This window comes from Homo sapiens, chromosome Y (assembly GCF_000001405.40).
Source record: "Homo sapiens chromosome Y, GRCh38.p14 Primary Assembly".
Classification (NCBI taxonomy): domain Eukaryota; kingdom Metazoa; phylum Chordata; class Mammalia; order Primates; family Hominidae; genus Homo; species Homo sapiens.
In genome coordinates this window covers 15272580-15293355 of record NC_000024.10, presented here as the reverse complement: position 1 = coordinate 15293355, position 20776 = coordinate 15272580, and the positions used below count along the sequence as shown (strand labels likewise).

At 38.9% G+C, this 20776-nt stretch overlaps 1 long non-coding RNA gene across 1 annotated transcript in view; it reads left to right on the top strand.

The window, feature by feature from the left end:
* Positions 1–20776, top strand: part of LOC107987355 (uncharacterized) — a 118030-nt gene that overhangs the window by 71780 nt on the left and 25474 nt on the right. The gene's annotated exons all lie outside the window — the stretch shown is intronic.

The window sequence follows — 20776 nt, the reverse complement described above, 5'->3', positions numbered from 1 at the left end:
CATGAAAAGATGGCTCGCATTTCATTGTAAGAGAGAGAAGAAAAATATTTGTATGGTTTCAGATAGTATGTTGAACTGGGTGCCAGAATAGTTTACTAATGAGAAAGTCATCGGAACATGCAATAAAAAAAAGTAACCTGGTGCCACGTGGCACAAAGTGGCAATATGGGCTGATGTTCTCAAGTTGTTATGTTAAGTCCTAGGTGTCTGGACCAACCAGAATGAGAACCCAGGTTCAAGAGGAGAGGGAACCGCGTTGGGAGAATGGGTATCTCGGAGCTGTCCGTGGTGCTGCCTCACCTCTCGAATTTTACCTGTAATGACAGCTAAGGATGAGCCAATGCTTTTCAAAAACTCCTCCCTTTGATGACCCTGAAGCCCAGATGTGACTCCTTCTGACTCCTTCATGTGAACTCCCTTGGAAACAATACAAAGTGTAGCATAGGGCTGGCCACTCGCATCTTTGAGTTAACCCAATTTTCAATATGACTTGGCCAATCCATGAGAATTGGTAAATCACGAGTCTCCTGACAGTCACACTGGGCTGAATCTGCAGAATACACATCAAAAGACACACCCAAACCGAAAAGCCACCCCCATAGTCTGACCTGTGACCTACTACAGCAATACAAGAGTGATAGTTGAATAAGGATGCTGAGAGGATGTGGACTGGCCGCTGGAAAGACCAGAAGCAGGAGATTGGGGCATTAGTCTCAAGTGTCACCAGATTCCATTTTTCTATTTTCCAATTTCTTGCTATGCCCTACAGCTGGAAATGAAAGAGTAAGAGGATTTTTCTCATCTTAAACATTTTGTTGGACTGACTATTGGATGGGTTGCAGGAGACCCTTCTTTGGGAGGATACTGAAAACTGTTTGTTTTTTTAAGCATTAACCAAGAGGGCCTTGAGCTGTTTATAATGAAGTTTTCGGAAGAGTTACAAAGCCCTTCAGGATTTAAAAAAGGCCATAGTTGAATCTTTTTCTCTTAGATATCCCCTTATATTGTTTGTGTTTAAGTTTATTTGTGTTTATGTTTAAGCCTCTCAGCAGATTCTAAGAACCAAGTTTCTCTCCTTCTTTCCTTCCTTCTCTTTACTTCCTCTCTCCCTTCTTCCCTTTCTCCCTCCTCTCTTTTTCTTTCTTTTCTTTCATCCTTCCCTCTCTCCTTTTCCTTCCTTCATTCATTCCTTCCCTTTCTTTCCTTCTTTCTTTCCTATCCCCTCCCTCCCTCCTTCCCTCCCTCCCTCCCTCCCTCCTTCCTTCCCTTCCTTCTTTTCTTCCTTTTTTCCTTGTCTTGTCTCCCTGTTACCCAGGCTGGAATGTATTAGTGCAGTATAGCTCACTGCAGCCTTGACCTTCTGGGCTCAAGTGAACCTCCTACCTAAGCCTCCTGAAGTGCTGGGACCACAGGCATTTGTCATCATAACAAGCTATTTATTTATTTATTTACTTATTTATTTATTTATTTTTGTAGAGCCTGGGTCTTGCTATGTGACCCAGGCTGGTCTCGAATTCCTGAGCTTAAGTGATCCTCACATTTTGGCCTCCCAAAATGCTGGGATTACAGGCATAAGCCATCACATGCCGCCCTTATTTGTTTTTTAAAGCTGAGATCAGTTCTTTAAAAAGCAAAGATACTCCATTTTTGTTTATTGAGTTATCTTTAAAATTTGAAGTTGCTGGATCTTGGGGTAGGGAAAAACACAGTGTATTGTTTTTTCGATTGTTAACAAAACCTGATGGCAGAACTTGAAACCCTATCATACTTCTCTATTTCCCTAATGTAAGGAAAAGTTAAGGTCTCTTATACATAAAGTATTACATTATAATAGTTTCTTTGAGTAATAGCTCTTTAAACTTTCTTATTGAAGACATCATTTATAAACTTTATATCCTTCCCACCTCCACTGCACAAGGCATGGAGAAATTACCTGCGAATCCTAGTAACAGGTAAATAGATGTCTGGGAGAAAGTAATTTGCATAACAATGGAAAAGTGCAATTCCACTTGTTTTAAAGAAAAGATTACTGGAAATTTCAAGTCACTTAAGATTTAAAAAGTTTGACAGAATTGTCAAAAGTCCTATTCATCATCCTTGCACGATGAGTTTTGCCGAGTTACCTGTGTGGCATCACTCCCCAGCTCTTTGCAGTGTTTGCTGAGACATCTCACCTTCCTTGTTCTTTGAGTCTGAAAACCGTGGATCTGTGCACACCTTTCTCACTGTAATTTAAAGCCTTGATACTCATCTGGAGATGCAAATCCTTCTATTGAGAAGATGCTATGGTGAGATTGCAGGGCTACCATGCTGTTTTGCTCCTGATTTTGTTCCAACCTTCTTGAAGCATCTCAGTGTTGATGTCTCATGCTGCCTTAGTCACCATTCTTTCTTACATCCCCTGGCACCTTCTATTTTCTCTTTTTCTCTGAATGACCTCTTTTCCTGGGAGCCAGTCCCTTCTTTCTTTCTACATCTGAATTGCACGTTATGGCAGCCCCTTTGGGGCCCAGCATATATTTGCACTTAAAATGGAGATGGATTATTTGAATTAGGACCACCTCCCTCTCACAAGAATGAGCTGCAAGTGTTAACAGATAAAAATAAAAGGCTGGGAGTGGTGGCTCACTCCTGTAATCTCAGCACTTTGGGAGGGAGGATCCTTTGAGCTCAGGAGTTAGAGAACAGCCTTGGCAATATGGTGAGATCTTGTCTCTATTAAAAAAAAAAAAAAGAAAGAAAAAAAGAAGAAGAAAAAAAAATAAGGCCAGGTGCGGTGACTCATGCCTGTAATCTCAGCATTTTCGGAGGCCAAGGCAGGTAGATCATTTGAGGTCAGGAGTTTGAGACCAGCCTGGGCAACATGGTGAAACCCCATGTCTACTAAAAATATAAAAATCACCTGGGCATGGAGGCAAGTGCCTGTAGTCCCAGACACTAGGAAGGCTGAAGCAGGAAAATTGTTTAAACCCAGGAGACCGAGATTGTGGTGAGCCAAGATCGCACCACTACATTCCAGCCTGGTGATAGAGTGAGACTCTGTTTCAAAAAAAAATTAAAATTAAAAATAATGCCCATAGAAAATGGCACTGGTGGGTGAACACACCTGTTTGCCTATCATTCTACCTCTATTCACAAGATCAGTCAGTCCTCCCCACATGTGAAAGGCATGGAAGGAAATAAGAACTTCCTCAGTGCAAATGTATTAATGCTACCTGAATCATTTGTAGGTTAAGCCTGTATACACTCCTATTTTTGAGAATCAACCTGACTTTTTCACTATGAGTAAGAGCAGTAAGGGGTTCTTAGTGTTGCTAGGCTATGCTTCAGGATAAAGGAATGTCTTTGGGTGCATGATTCTTTTCTCCATGTTTGGCTCGGTCCTGCTGCCCTAGCAAGGCATAAATTACATGCAGCCTGTTGGCAAAAAGCGATCATGTGACCAATGAGGAATGATGAGTGTTATCTAAAAATCTGCTCTCCATGTGGGTGGTGGAAAAGACCTGGGGCTATAATGGGCAGAATTGGGCACAGCAATAGTAGGTCAATAACTCTCCGAGTTTGGGCTCAATATCTAATTCTTGAGCTTCACCTGGTAGCTGTCATATTTCATTTTCCTTCTTTCTGCCTTCCTTCTACATGCTCCCTGACTGCTCATTCCCTCAGAGGGCAGTAGTTTCTCAGTTCAATCAGGAGCTAATCTTATCATTGACTTCCAGGACTTATAATAATTCTGAATGGAGATGGTGTTGCCCTATATGGAGCATTTTTGAAATTCATAGGGCCATTTTTATTACCCTATACTTTTAAAATATAGTATTTTTTTCATACAGAGTCTGAGATTTGCAAAAACTGAGGTAACATTGTACATTGTTTTGTTTAGAATTTTTCCAAATGTTGAGCCCTGCTTTGGAAAATCATGTCAGTGAAATGCACTCCACTCACCATATTGGAGACATCATAACACATGGTGAAGTTTCCGAATTGGGCTATGTTTTCTGTGATTGTTTGTTACAGCCTGTTTCATGTCATAGCCCAGGAAGTACCTCTGACACTACAGTTATAAATAAGAACAATCCAAGCTCATGTGTGGAAATATTATGCTTTCTCTCCTTGGACAGTGTGCAATTTAGCTTAGCATGTTATCCCTACTTTATTTGCAATCATTACTTTTTTCTTTTACTACTGTCAACAAAATCTTGTTTGTTGGTCCTCATCTTAATGCTAGTTGTTATTCTAGTGCCATCTGCATCCTGATTTTTTATGTCCTTCATTTTCTTTTAGAAACATTTTCTTATCTCCTTTTGTATTTTTATTTTCGTTTTTGAGACAGCATCTTTGTTGCCCAGGTTGGAGTGCTGTGGTACCATCATGGCTAACCACAGCCTGGAACTTCTTGGCTTACGTGATCTTCCTACCTCAGCATCCCAAGTAGCTGGGACCACAGGTGTGTGTCACCACACACACACCTGGCTATTTTTTATTTTTGTAGAGATTGTGACTTGCTGTGTTGCTCAGGCTCTGACCTCCTCTTAAACTATGGCTTATGCATCCTAAGGAGGTATATGTATGTGAGGCTCATGATGTCTTCTTGTGCAACTGTGCCTGATCAGTTACCTATTGGAATACATGTTATTTTATCAGAACTACCTTCCTTGGTTTTATATTTTATATTATGGTTAGTATATTATCTTGACTTATTTTCAAATTATAACTATGATAGATTCTATGATACATGAATTTCTTTTCAAGATATAAAGAAGGCATTCATTTGCTATATTTCAAAAAAGATATTGGGCTTTTTCCTGTGGCTCAGGCCTGTAATCCCAACACTTTGACACTACACTTGGGAGGCTGAGGCAGGAAGATTACTTGAGTTCAGGAATTCCACATCAGCCTGGGCAACAAAGGGAGACCCCACTGTTACAAAAACAAAAACAAAAACAATAAACAATAAATTAGTCAGTCATGATTGTACATGCCTATAGTTCCAGCTACTGGGGTGACTGAGGTGGGTGGATTCCTTGAGCATAGGAGTTGGAGGCTGTAGTGAGCTGTGATCGCACCACTGTACTCCAGCGTGGGTGCCAGAGAAAGACCCCATATCTTAAATTTTTTAAAAAGCTTATTGATGGTGACCATGTTGAGAATGCCTGGGATGTATGAATGAAAGAACTATGAGGTGGCATCCCTCTGGTCTCTCTTCTTTACTAAGAAGGGACATTTTTTGGTGGCAACTTGAAGACATGCCAAGGTCCTGGCTAACTAAATATAAATAAATAAATAAATAAATAAATAAATAATTCAGCTTTGGAGTGGGGAAGGAACAGCCAACCAGCATTTTGGTTGGGCTTGGCCACATGCTGTGGGATCATGTGCAAATCTGTGCCTTCAATTCTCTTCATGTCCTTATCCCCAAACACACATGTCAAGCCAGTGAACAGATTTTCTACTCAACATACAAGGACCTTGTTCTCATGCCACTGCCCCTGGGAAGGTTAGTTCTTTTCACTGATTTGCTTCCAGGTATATCCCTACAAAGCAACCATTTCTTCTTTGAAAATAGGGACTATTTCTTGTTCATCTTTTTGTCCTTGGACATGGGTACTCAAAAATGTAAGGCAATTTAAACATACTGTGGGCTCACTACTTAAATCTTATGTTTATCACGAGGGTGGATAAGATTACAACTACATTTTAAGATCTTTCTTTCACTGTGTGCTGATAACTTCACGAATTTTGATAAGCCAGGAGAATCATTGTCATACTTAACTAAAATAATGAACATAAACCTGCTTGGGAACCACTGTAGTCATTACTATTCTCCCTTATTCTGACTATGGTAATTCCAGAAGAAGAGAAATGGGAGGGGAATTGTGTCAAGCAAAGGGTGGCTTTATATTTCCTATCCAGGCATCAAAATCAGACCATAAACATGCTACAGCTTTATGCATATAAAGGGTCATTTGCTGGAAGCACGCATTATAACCACAGAATAAAATTTACATTCCTGCAGGCTCTAACTTCATATTTATGAAATGTTTATAGGTTTCTAGTAGAGGCAAAGCTTAAAGTTTTGCCAAGATTTGAAAAATGTTTTATAGTTAATGATGGGTACATGGATATTAAGATGTAAAAGCAAAGATACAAGTTGTTGAAATGTTTTCCGAGGAATGACCTAAGTATTCTGTATGTGAATCATGTGCCGTGCATGCCTTTAGGAACTTAGATATAGGTCACCTTATATAACGCTTATCATTTTTTTTTTTAATATGAGGGGCTGGGACCCAGAGATTTGGTCATGCTACTAATAAACAATGGGTATGTTGGAAGCGAGGTTTCTCTGACTCTAAAACCATATTATCTGCTAGGTACTGCTCCTCATTTAAATGCTGCCCTTCTTTTGTCATTAGATATTTTTTCAGACTTCCTTTCCCTAAGTGGAACTTGTACTGCCATTTTGGATATTCGCTCCATGAACATATTTCCCACAGTCAAATTTAACCACTTTCTCTTGTCTGTACTCATTAACAAATTCTCCCTTCTATCTATAATAGATATGCATGTATTTCCATCTATCTGCATGTGGAAAGTGAATAGATATGCATGTATTTCCATCTATCTGCATATGGAAAATAGAAATTTCAGCCAACTGGATTATCATTCTAAATCTCTGTCCTCATATATAGAGATGAAGGCAAATGCTGATCACAGTCTAGTGACAGGTGGCCTTGGGAGACACCTTTGATCTTTGGGCCTACAGCTGGCATTCCTTCAGGATGGGGCTGACTTGCTTCAGCTGTCCTGAAAACAGACATTATCTGCTGTCTCCATTGTCACCCTCCAACAGCAAATCAGGTCCTTGCACACCATGCCTTCTCTACCAATATCACACATGCTAAAAACTCACTGATGTCCAAACATCTGTTTCCATTGCAACACCTGGAGAGGCAGGGATACAGTTACTCTTGCAAACAGAAGTAGAGAAACTCTGAAACAGGCCATGAATTATATGAGGGGGGAAAGCTAAATTTGGACTCGGAAATAATCCAGTCAGCAATTATTACCTAAATTATTAGGTCAGTACTTTGTTATGAGGGAAAGAGAGTAAAATGTTGGCAGTAGTTCAATTATGCTGCAGCTACCTAATACCTGAGAAACAAATTACAAAGAGCCAATGCAGGGTAAGACAACTGTGCAGGTCCATAGATATCAGATTACTCTGCCTGTGGACTGTTAAATGTTTATGAAATTGCCTCTGTGAGCAAAGACAAAGACAGCAAAGGAATAAAAGCAACCCAAAAAGCAAACAGTCAAAAAACAACAGCAACCTTCTTTAATGGCTCTTAACTGAACACATTTTGTAAACATCGCTGTACAAAAGTTCTTTACATAGATGAAGGAGAAAAATACAAAGTTCTAATAGATAACCTTGCAGAAGGCTCCTTTTCTGCTCTTCTTTCTCCACCTGTCCAGTAAGTAGTGGAGTTTGCAGATCTCACTCCTGCCTTTGTTTCCTGGTTGCATTCTATGACCTTCTTACCTTCTGGGTGCTAATGGAATTCTATATTGATATTTCTCGGGAATTCCGGATTTCTACATTTTACTGCCTATCTAGTGTGGGCTCTTTTATGCTTCAGTCTTAATCATTGCCAACCATAATTCCTGGACTTGTCTCCTGTCAGGATGCATTGCTCCAATGTAAAGGCTCTGTGTGTTCTCTCTCAGAAAATACAGGGCCATAGATTCAGCACACATGCTTCCTGGAAGTCAGTCTTTACACACTTTTCTCTCTAAGTGTTCTTCTTCCAACCTAAAACTCATCACAAAATCTTACCTAGGCCATGCATGGTAGCTCACACCTGTAATCCCAGAACTTTGGAAGGCTAAGGCAGGAAGATTGCTTGAGCTCAGGAGTTCAAGACCAGCCTGGGCAATCTGGTGAGACCCTGTCTCTACAAAAACTAAAAAAAAAAAAAAAATTAGCTGGGTGTGGTTTTTCCACCTGTAGTCCCAGCTACTTGGGATGCTAAGGTGGGAGGATTGCTTGAGCCAGGGTGGTCAATACTACAGTGATCTGTGATAATGTCATTGCACACCAGCCTAAGTGACAGAGAACCAAGTGTCTCAGTAAACAAATTAATAAATAAAAATAATAAATTTGACCTAGAATACTCTCAAAAGGTCCCCCACTTTTGGATTGAAGATGTTGTTGTAGGATGATCCGGAAAGGTGTAAAGTATTAAAATAATAAAATAATCTCCAAATAAATGGCTCACTTTACTAGAAGCTTTCAAAGTCCTTCCTGAGGATGTCAACCAGAGCAGAAACAGGAATCAAAAGGGTTATGGTTCTGCAGGCAGCATTGGATGACCAGGATTCTTCAGTTAATTTCCAGCGAGGGTGTAGATACATGCATGTGCCTGGTGCCTGCGTGTCTGCATTTCTCTCTACTCACAGAATTGCTTTATGCTCTTTTCTCTGATATGCCATTAATTTGCAGCCTTTGAGATCCCATTACCTCAAACAATACCATGCTTTTTTAAGTTTCTACATACCACATGTACTGCATTTAACATCAAAACAATTAATGAAAAAATATAAATGTTAGTATTGGACTAATGAAAACATTCCCACCACCCCAAATTAATTACCATATGTTGGTCTAGGAATAAAATTATTCCAACTATAATTAAAATATCACTTGATGCTATCCCTGTACAAAGTGACATGAAGGGGTGTGCAGTTAACTGGAGAACTGATTGACGCAGACTGCTAATCCATGAGTTTCACACACCTTGGCCCATTTTTCTTTCAGTGTTGTCAATTCATCAGTGGTGTAAAATAGGATTGTGCCATTTTCTTCACTGCAGAAGAAATGTGTCAAACTCAGGGATATTAAATCGCTTATCAAAATTGTGGGAATTACCACATTTGTAAGAGACAAATTTGAGACAAGATTGAATTCCTGTAAGACAGACTTTTTTTCTTCTTAAAAAAAAAAAGTACACTCTTTCCTCCTGCAATCACTAAACTATCTTTCTTTTCATGACAAAACTAGCTTACATGCAAAGGGCATGTTTTAGAATTGGTGGTGGGATTGGAGGGGTGATGCATTTATAGGCCAATGCAGAAGAATGTATTTTATCTCAGTTTTGTCTTAGTCCATATTTTCCACTTGTTTTCTTGAAAGATTTCTTAAGCACTTCCATCGCAATAGGACATAAGTATCTTATTGACCTGTCTCCTCTTCCAATGTAGCTTTCCTCATTGATTGTCTGATTATCATTGCTGTGCTATGATGGTTACATATGGTTACAAAGGTAGATCCTGATTGATTAGCATCAAGAATGTTGCATGGGTTTCCATCGACTGAAGGAAAAATTACAAAGGTCTCATTGTGGCCTCTGATGCAGTCATGGCTCCTGCTTGGGGCTCTCCAGCTCTGGATTTTATTTTATTTTATTATTTTATTCATTTATTTTCTTTATTTTTGAGACAGAGTCTTACCCTGTCACTCAGGCTGGAGTGCAGTAGTGTAATCTTGGCTCATTGCAAACTCTACCTCTCAGGTTCAACCAATTGTACTGTCTCAGCTTCCCGAGTAGCTGGGATTACAGGCATGCTTCACCATGCCCAGATAATTTTTCTTTGTTTAATAGAGATGGGTTTTTGCCCTGTTGGCCAAGCTGGTCTCCACCTCCTGGGCTCACCCACCTCAATTTCCCAGAGTGCTGGGATTACAGGCATGAGCCACCGCCACTGCACCCAGCCCTCCAACTCTAGTTATGTTACCATTTTCCCACAGACTTTAACCCCTCATCTGTTACCTCTCCTAGGATCTACTCTCATGGACTGCACTATGGATGATAAGAGCTTAGAGGCTACAGCCAAAGTACATATACTGCACCACTTACAACAGCAATTTTCTTAAATGCTCCGTAGCTCAGTTTTCCTGTCTGTAAAATGGGGATGATTGTATCTCTCCCATTGACCAGCATTATGATACTCATGTTACATAGGAGGAAGTTAAGGCACAATGAGGTTCAAGGGTCCGCTCTCAAGTTGGGGCTCATTCCTCCCTTCCTCCCTCTTCATGGTCATAGGAGGGTATGGCTATTTGTCCATCCTCTTCAAGTCTCAGTTTTCCTCCTGTAAAATGGGAATAGGATAATTTACGTTCTTTGTATGATTGTTGTAAGGCTCACGTCAGATAGTGGAAGCAATGGAGCTATGTAAGACGAAACTTGTGAAGCAAAGGGTAATTCCTACTGTTACAGTGATAAATCTTACTATTGGAGTAAATATACACACATAAGAATCATCCTGGTGGAAGAACTCATTTCTAATCTTTTGCTCATCATAAGAGCTCAGGAGAAGGAAAAAATAACACTGCATTAGTAACACTCAGTGTTGCCTTCACTCACCATAAAACTTTCCATTTACTCTTGTATTTGTTTCCTTTTATGTCATGCTCTCTGACAGGCATGAAACACATCTTGGCTCATTGCTCTCTTTGAAGCCAAATTCACCATGGAGGCACACATTGTCACCTACTAACAGGGCTTACCTTAGCTAGGAGTGCACAGAAAAGGGCTTTTGCATATTTAAAATTAATTACAAAGAGACACATGTTAACCAACAATGCGGAATTATTCTGACTGGGGTTTCTTCTTTTTAGAAAAGAGTCCCTTTGGCAAGATTCATAATTCTGGCGGCCACAGGAATACAAGCTAGACCTTAAAAAGAAAATCATCTATTGTAATGCACTTAGGCAAATGGAAGGTGTGTGTTGGGAGTGGCCAGAGGTGGATGGGCAGTGGGGGAACTCACCCCTGTCTGGTTATATTTTGTTTTGAAAAATAAAAGCAATTTAAATGAACAATGACACATTCCACCCTGTTAGCATTGGCCTTTTCTCCCCTTACCTCCTCCACTTTTCCAAACACTACTCTTTGCTCGCCTGTCTGTAAATGTCAGGGCAACACTGTATTTCATTTAGTATAGAAGGGTGTTTCTCTGCATTGTTTTCTATACCGAAATGTCAGCTGTGATGACTTACCCGTCTTCCAGGAGAAAATCGGGCCTGCCACAAAACAGAGGTGTGCAGATTTTTAAACCCATGACACAGGTGGTACCCAGCCCTAAAGTTATTGGGTGGAAGGCCCTTTGAGGCCAACCAGAAGGAAACAAAGTTGTGTGGGCTTCTAATATGCTTTTCTTTTTCTTTTTAAGTAGCTGAAGAGCAGTATTACATTAAATTAAGCTCCATGTACTTAATTCTCTTGGGGCTTCACCAAAAGAGGCTTGTGTCCCTGGAATCAAACAGCAAATCTTTGCAGGCTCTGTCAGCAGACTGATTCCTCCATCCATCAGGCTCAAAGCTGAAAGGCACCAGTGGCATTTGATGTGATGGCAGGGAGCATCTTCCCCCCTCAGGCAGTTCTTGCAGTTAGCAAAGATGGAGAGGAAGAGAGGGAGACATGCTATTTGTATGCAGCTGGTGGACTTGGCAGGCAAGGCTAGAGCAAATTGCAATTTTAGGCAAGTCTAGGTTGTTAAGAACAGGACCTCTTTCTTACCTAGAAGCCCAAGAAATTGACCACTAGAATGGCTTGAGTTGTGAGTAAAGATCAGTGACAGTGAGAGGAGATGTTTGCCATCACTTACGCTGGGAGGCCTAATTAACAGAGGCCAGCTTGCTGAATTAGATAAAATTTAGTATCCACTGAAATTAATGCAATGTTTTCTGAGCATCTTTCACCTGACAGTGGAAAATCAAGTTTAAGTGGTTGGAAGTGGGAGTGCTGGTGAGAACCAAAACACTGTAGAGAACAAAATAAGTGGATTTTAAAAGAGTTTGCAGGGGCCAATCAGAGGCAAAAACACTTTGGGTTTCTATCTAGAGACAATAGCCACATTTTAGGCATAATAACTAATTGCTGTCCTAAAGAACTAATATTAAGAACTATTGGTGGTGGGTGCCATTTTCTTCCTTTTTTGTCATCTAATGAGAATGGAGAGTTTTCTTCTGTTAGATAAACATACCAGGGGATACAGATTATGGCAAATTTTGTCACATGAGGGAGATAAGTATTAAAATTTGAAATTCGTTATTTAATATCTTGAAAGTCGATGCTGGGGAGGACTATTTCAAAGTTTCCATGTGGACTGGAATCTGAAAGAGGAAAATATAATCCATTCACTGGCTATTTCAATTACCAGACCAATTTCTGCATCTGTGATTTGTGTAAAACACATTTTTTCCCACTGTATTCTATTTATCACTGATGCAACGTTAGTTAAGTAGCTCACATCTGTTAAAATTTTGGAGACTTCAACAAATAAAATCTAGTCTTCTGTTACTGTACTATCTAAAATAGATACTAATTTTATCTTTCTTGAGAAACTAACTAAAAGAACAAAGAATTTTATACTGGGTTGGTTACCAAAGTCATACTAACAGGATGGCCTAGATGCAATTTGTGGATCACAGTGTGAAAGACCAATTTGGAACTTTGATACAGCAGTGTCAAGATTTTGTTTTTTACCAATGTATATTCAACTTTTATTTCTTTCTTCCCATGAAGTTTTTAAAAAAAATATGTAGTCTTGTTTTGCTTATCCCAGGCCTGAATTGCTCACTGAAAATGCTATTGATCTTTTAGTCTGGTAATATGTTTGAATATATACAAATAAAGACTTTCTAAAAGCCCTCCAAATCATGTTTTAAATATTGAGATTTAGTCTTAAAATACCTTTCTTTTTGTATTTTTTTGCAAGTTTAGCAAGGGGAAGTTTGATTCAGTGAAAAACTGAGACTTCCTTCTAACAGCTACATAAGTGAGTCATGGGTCTGCACTTCCTCTAAATCCTTCAGGTAAATTAGAATGAAATGCCATAGTAAAAAACAAATTTTACAACATCATTGTGCACTTAAGAACTCATTTTAAAAGGTCAAGGTTAAAGTTTAGCAGTTAACTACATATCATATCTCATCTGTTTTGCATCTTATTTTAGTCACATAAAGAGATCACTTGGGGTATGTATGGTTGCTCATGCCTATAATCCCAATGCTTTGGAGGGTTGATTTGGGAGGATTGCTTGAGGCAAGATGTTCCAGGGCAGTCGGGGCAGCATGGCAAGAGCCTGTCTCTACAAAAAATGAAAAATTAGCGGGGCATGTTGGTGTGAACCTTCAGTTCCAGCTACTTCGGAGGCTGACGTGGGAGGATTTCTTGAGCCTCAGGGGTTTGAGGCTGCAGTGAGCTATGATTGTACCATTACACACCAGGCTGGGGACAGCGAGAGACTTGTGTCAATCAATCAATCAATTAATAGACAGTGAGACCCTGTTTTCTTTAAAAAAAAATAATAAATCAGTTTGAGATTGGTCAACAATTAGACTGAGGTGATTCTTTTAAATGATTGGAAGATATTTGATTGAAAGGATATACCATAATTTATTTAGCCATTATTCTTTTGGTGGACAGAAGTTATTTCTAATTTTCTCTGCTTCATTATAAAGAGTTATGTATCATATATTTGTATCATACTCATGAGACAGAACCAAACTGTTTTTATTAGAATAGCTTTAAAATATACTTTAATATCTGAGGGCCATCATTTCCACACTTAATTAACTTTCTTCTGCTTTTTTCCCAAATGCAAACATGAGCATCTGAGAATGAAGAAAGGATAAAAATATTTCATACTGCATTACATTCATTTGGAAAAGATAGTGCATTGTAACATGATATGGCTTTGTTGTCCCCACCCAAATCTCACTTTTAATTTTAATAGTCTGCACATTTCAAGTGTGGGTCCAAGTGGTGATAATTGAGTCATGGGGGAAGTGTTTCACTTACTCTTCTCAGGGTAGTGAATAAGACTCATGAGATCTGATGGTTTTAAAAACAGGAGTTCCCCTGCACAACCTCTCTTTCCTGTTGCCATGTGAGATGTGTTTTTGCTTCTCCTTTGCTTTCCTCCATGACAGTGAGGCCTCCCCAGCCATGAGGAACTGTGAGTCCATTAAACCTCTTTCCTTTATAAATTACCCAATCTGGGCTATGTCTTTATTAGCAGTGTGAAAACAGACTAATACATAACAGATTGGCTATAATATTTGGAAGAATCAGATTGTTCTGACTGTTGAGTTTTCTATATATAATTATTAAAGTACTAAAATAGTTTAATTAGTTATTAAAGTAGTCAGAACAATATTATCGATACCAATTTAATTGATATCAATGTCAAACAATGTTGAAATTTTTGTACCAAATCATTTTCACCTCAGCTATCATCATCATAATTTTATCTTGTTCCCAATGTGAAAGATGACATTGGGGATTGTATTAGTTATCTAATGCCATGGAACAAAGCAACTCAAAATGCAATGGCTTACAACAACACACATTTCTTTTCTCACATTTTCTGTGACTCAGCAATCCTGGATTGGCTGAACTTGGTATTTCTGGATCAGGGATCTTATGAGTTGCAGTGAACGTTGTCATCTGGAACTGATGTCATTTGAAGGCTTGACTGGGGCAGAAGGAATCACTTGTAAGATGGCTCACTTATATTGCTGTTAGCTGGAGGTCTCAGTTTCTCACTGTCTGTTGGAAGAAAACGTCAGTTCCTCGCCATGCAGCTTTTTCCATAGAGCTGTTTGAGTATCCTTACAAGGTAGCTGCCAGCTGTCTTCAGGATGAATGTTCCGAGACAGAGCAAGACAGAAACCATAATCTATTTTGTGATCTAGCTATGGGAGTCATACACCATTACTACACAAACAATAACGTTTTATTGGTCCAATAAACCAACCCTGATACAATGTAGGAGAGGGCTATATGAGGATATGTACAACAAGAGTCAAGGACTTTATGAGGGCATTTTAGGGCCAGCTACTATAAGGAGGCAATAAGGCAATAATACCATAAGGATTATAGCTGATACTCTCAGTTCTTGCTCTGGTGCAAAAGACAGATAATTTTTATTCAAATTTTCAGTTCCATATGGCCTGATGGTTTTCTTCCATAACTTGATACTATCATCAGTTTGAGCAGTTCAGTGTCCTATTTTGATCATAGTTACACATGTACCCTAACAGCAGCCTCTTAATTTATCAATTTCTTTTTTCCAGCACAGTTCTTTTTATAATGTATATAAATTATATATAATTTATATAAAATATATATTTAAATTATATTAAGTATATAATTTAATATAATTTAAATATATATTTTAATGTAATTTAAATAATAAAAATAAAATATATCTAAATTTCTAAATATATATAAATTATATATAAATATATATAATTATATATGGTATATATAATAAATTTTATATATAATTTTTATAAATTTAAATTTAAATTTAATAAATTTATTTTTTTCTCTTCTATTATTAACTCCTCACTTAGGTTGAAAATTATTTCTCTAAACCAGTAGAGTTCAAATTATTTCTGTCAGACGACTCAGAAATCCTACTATCTGGGATGTCCTCAACAGAGACTACAACAATGGTGAAAATTTCCAGCAATCTGCATACATATGTACTTTTTGTTTTCTGGCCCCATCTCATCCATTTATAAGTGCTCTATTTTGTTCTTAAAACTCAGATGAGGTAAATAATATTAAAAAATGATCAAGTGATATGTCTTCTCCTATTTATGAACATACTCATCTCTCTTCTTATCTCTCTCTGTCTGTCTCACTCTTTCTGTTTCTGTCTTATTTTATTTTAGATTACATATACATAAAAATATACATGCATATGAGTATATAATCTAGAAAGAATTCGACTGTACAGTGATTCTAGCAGACATGAACTAAAAAACATAATTTGTTTCAAAATGAATTCAGCACATGTACCCCAGAACTTAAAGTATAAATAAAAATAAATAAGTAGATAAATAGTAAGTGCTATACAAGTGTAAACTGCTCCAAAAAAATGAATTCTTTACCAAATTCTCTAGGCCATCAGTAGAGATGTCGTGATAATAATTTTGTGTAAGTATTCAATGGAAGAAACACTTTAAGATGTTTGTGTTTACATTACTGGCCAGGAAACTTTTATCTTTCCTTTTATGTATACCTTCTCACCCATAATTTGATTTCCTTTAAGTAATAACTTCAGCCATAAATAATTGGTCATAATATAGAGGCTTCCTGGAAATCACTAGCTCTTAAAGACTTGTACTCATGTGCACAGAACCCAATTAAAGCAAACTATTTTCAATTGCCATCCTTTGTGCATCTCTAGTGTCACATTTGATATGCATAGTCAATCATGACCATCCACTTGGGGCCTTCTTATGGTCCAGAAAACAGACACTTGGGCAGTGAACAAAATATAGGTTTGGGGTTGCTAATGGTTTTGAATTACTGCACTTCACTTCTTTTCAGAGAGGTTACAGTTGCAGTTAACTTCACAATTCAGGTGGCAAAGATGACTCACAGTGGAAAGCTGCTAAGTTGTCCCAAGGATCAATTTTGTTTTGGGATCACACTGGAAAGCTCTAACTCCTTAGTGAAATCTGCTGATTTGTGTAGTTCAGGCCTAATTTCAAGGAAGTAGAGTCACCCATGAGGAGTTTCTCACCCTGTTCTCTGAGATGACTGAGAATCATATCACAGCTTTTGACATGGTACAGGCTCAGTTGGTTATACTGTTAAGTCATTTTCTTATTTATTCAAGGGGTCCAATAGAGAAGATATAAGGAAGCAATTTTTCCTGTATCTCTTGCGTTTCTGCCTGTATCACAACCAGAGGTGCTGACAGCCTGTATTGTGCACATCCTTTTCAAGCATGTGTGTTTATGTAAAAGCCTTGGAAGATAGATATGGTGTCTTACTTTAAGCCAAATGGTAGGTTTCCTTATTCACCAGTTCAATGAACATTTCCTCCTGGAGGAGAAGCCATGTAGGCTTACTGGTCATGATAAGTATTCAGGTCAGGTCCCTAAGCACAGGGTTCATCTCCTGTAATGCAATCCACTGTAGGCAGGCATCATGCAGCCCTTTACACAGCCCCCAGGATGGTAGGAGGACTGCAGTTCAGGAAACCAGCACAAACATGGCTACTATGTCTACTGCTATTATTGCATGTAGAAACTGTCCTTTGTCTCTGTCCCAGAGAATTTGTGTCTTCTGCCACCATCTGTGAAGCTCCAGCAGGCTGACTTGTTAGCCTGAAACTAGGATGGAATTTCAGAAAATTCACAGTTCTCTACATAAAACACCAACTAAAGAGCAAAGTGAAATACAATTACAGTCACAAGCCATATCATGATATTCTATCAGTGGCAGACCACATATGCAATGAAAATACCCTAAGATTATAATGGAGCTGACAAATCTCTGTCACCTGGTGACAATCCCAACACTTTGTAGGCCTAGACAAAGTTATGTGTTTGTATTTTATCTTTTTTTAAGAAATAAGTTTAAAAAGTAAAAAAAAATTAAAGATACGAAATACTTACAAAATAAAGATATAAAGAAAGTATTTTCATACATCTGAATGATGTGATTGTGTTTTAAGCTATGTTTTTCTGACAGTCAAAAAGCTAAAAAAAAAACAAACTAAAAAAAATTGAAAAGGTTATTTTATTATTAAAGAAAGAGTCTGGGCATGGTGGCTCATGAGTGTAACCCCAGCATTTTGGGAGGCCGAGGTGGTGGATCATCTGAGGTCAGCCATTTGAGACCAGCCTGGCCAACATAGTGAAACCCCATCTATACTAAAAACACAAAAATTAGCTGGGCATGGTGGCTCAAGCCTATAATTTCAGTTACCCAGGAGGCTGAGGAAGGACAATCACTTGAACCTAGGACATGGAGTTTACAGTGAGCCAGAATTGTGCAACTGCACTCCAGCCTGGGCAAAAGAGTGAGACTTAGTCTCAAAAAATTATATATATATATATATATATATACACACACACACACACACACACATGTATATATATATAAACATATGTATGTATACATAAAGACAAACACTTTTAATAAATTAGATGTAAACTCAGTGTACAGTGTTTATAATGTCTGTAGTAGTGTATAGTAGTGTCCTAGGCCTTCACATTCACTCATTACTCACCAACTCATCCAGAACAACTTCCAGGTCTGTGAGTTCCATTCACAGTAAATGCCCTATATAGGGGAACCATTTTTTATCTTTCTTACCATATGTTTACTGTACCTGTTCTATGTTTAGATATGTTTATATACATAAATACTATTGTGTTACAATTGCTTACAGTATTCAGTACAGTAACATACTGTACAGGCTTGTAGCCTAGGAGAAAAAGACTAATCCCACATAACCTAGGTGTATTGTAGTTTATCACATCTAGGTTTGTATCCTAATGACCATTTCTTAGTATGTGTCACCATCGTTAAGCAACACAGGACTGTATTATGAATTCTATATGAATACAATTTTTTTTTTTTTTTAGGCAGAGTGTCCCCGTTTTGCTCAGGCTGGAGTGAAGTGGGATAATCTTGGCTTACTACAACCTCTGCCTCCCAGGTTCAAGAGATTTTTCTGCCTCAGCCTCCCAAGTAGCTGGGATCATAGGTATCCACTACCACACCCAGCTAATTTTTGTATTTTCAGTAGAGAGGGGGTTTCACTATGTTTGCCAGGCTGGTCTTGAACTCAACTAATCTGCCCATCTCAGCCTCCCAAAGTGCTGGGATTGCAGGTGTGAGCCTCAGCGCCTGGCCTAAATATGCTTTTTAAGCCACCTTTTATTGAGGAAGAAACATTTCCTCTAACAGCTAGGTTTTTGCTGGTGTTAGTGAATAACTTAAGTATTCCATAGTCTTTTTCACTGATAGCCCCAAGTTCACTGGTGGTGGGAGAGAGATGAGGGTAGAGAGGATAATAGGTAATAGGAAATCAGGAGGAGAGAAAGTACATACACAGTGGGTTCCCATTACAACAAATGATATATTTAAGGTCCAGCCAATTTCAAGTCCTTTCTTAAATACTTCTGAGGTTTCCAGGGTTTAAGACTGTCCTCACCCTATCCTTCCCTATGAACTTGTTTTCTATTCCTCATAACAATCTTTATCATCCTTTGTTGCCTCAGTCTGAACCGGCATTAGCCATGGCTGGGGTTAAGAGCTTTGGGAGTGGGCATCCAAGCAGCAAGCTGCCTGTACTGCAGATGGTGGTCCTTCCAAGCAGGGATGCAGGCAAAGTGACAAGGACATGAAACTACATTCTGTATTGCTCAGCTTTGCTTGACAAAGGTTGATTGAAAGAAGTATCATGTCATTCAGACTCTAGTCCTTTTATGTGTACCTTGAATGCATTTGTGACTCCTGCTGTGGTTTGAGTCTTTGTGTCTTTCCAAGATTCATATTGGAACTTAATTCCCAATTAGCATTCAGTTAATTCCCAATTAGTGACACTGTTAAGCAATAATGTTAAGAGATGGGGGCTTTTAGGAGGTGATTAGGTCATGTGAGCTTCATCCTCGTGGAGGGGATTAGTACCCTCATTTTAGGTCTTGAGAGAGCAAGCTTATCCCTTTTCTCCCTTTCAACCCAGTCTGCAATGTGAGGACATACTATGTTGGTGCAAAATAATTGCGGTTTTTGTCACTACTTTCTTTTTCTTTTTTTTTTTTGAGACGGAATCTCACTCTCGCTCTGTCGCCCAGGCTGGAGTGTAGTGGCGCGATCTCGGCCCACTGCAAGCTCTGCCTCCTGGGTTCACGCCATTCTCTTGCCTCAGCCTCTTGAGTAGCTGGGACTACAGGCGCCTGCCACCACACCCGGCTATTTTTTTTTTTTTTTGTATTTTTATTAGAGATGGGGTTTCACTATGTTAACCAGAGTGGTCTCAAATTCCTGACCTCATGATCCACCCACCTCGGCCTCCCAAAGTGCTGGGATTTTAGGCGTGAGCCACAGTGCCTGGCCACCACTACTTTCAATAATAGAAACTGTAATTAATTTTGCACCAACCTAATAGGCTGTCCTCTCTGGAGGACACAACTACAAGGCACCATTCAGGGAGCAGAGAGCAGCCCTCACCAGACACCAAGTCTGCTGGCTACTTAATCTTAATCTTCTACCCTCCAAAATTGTGAGCAATAAATTTCTACTGTTTATAAACTACCCTGTCCAGAGTGAGGGCTACAGCAGCATGAACAGACTAAGACAGTTTCTTTCCTGTCAAATGGCCTCTGCCCCTCAACTTTCTCTCCAGACTGTTACCACTGGCAATGCTAAATTAACCAGGTGCAATTCTAAGTCCTATATTCACATCCACATGTGTAAGAGAGAAAAGACTTTTCACCCATTGCAAGGTTCATGGCTGAGACAGTTATAGCAAAAATCAGATCAGCGATAAAAAATCAGATAGATCTATTTAATCTAAGTTTTACATGACATTAGAACCTTCTGAAACGAAGCCTCAAAGAAACAGGGGAAACTGTCCATTTTAATGCTTAGGCTTGATAAGAGGTAACAGTTGTGTAGAAGTATAATTGGACAAAAGGTGATGGGCTCTAATAGGAATAAACCAGGAGGAAATGTAGCAAGGCCTGTTTGTTCAGATTCTTCTTGTCCCCCCTGTGTCTTCAGAGAGGACATTTCCTTATTCTGGGTATAGGGTGGACCCCTTGGAATGACTCATGACCTCCTTTCAGAGGAAAGTCAACCAGGTTTTATGGCTCACTTCAGGCAACTTTTGAGGAGGGGCAGGGGAAGTTTTTCCAGGTAGCTATGGCCGGCTTCTTCTATTTTCCCAAATG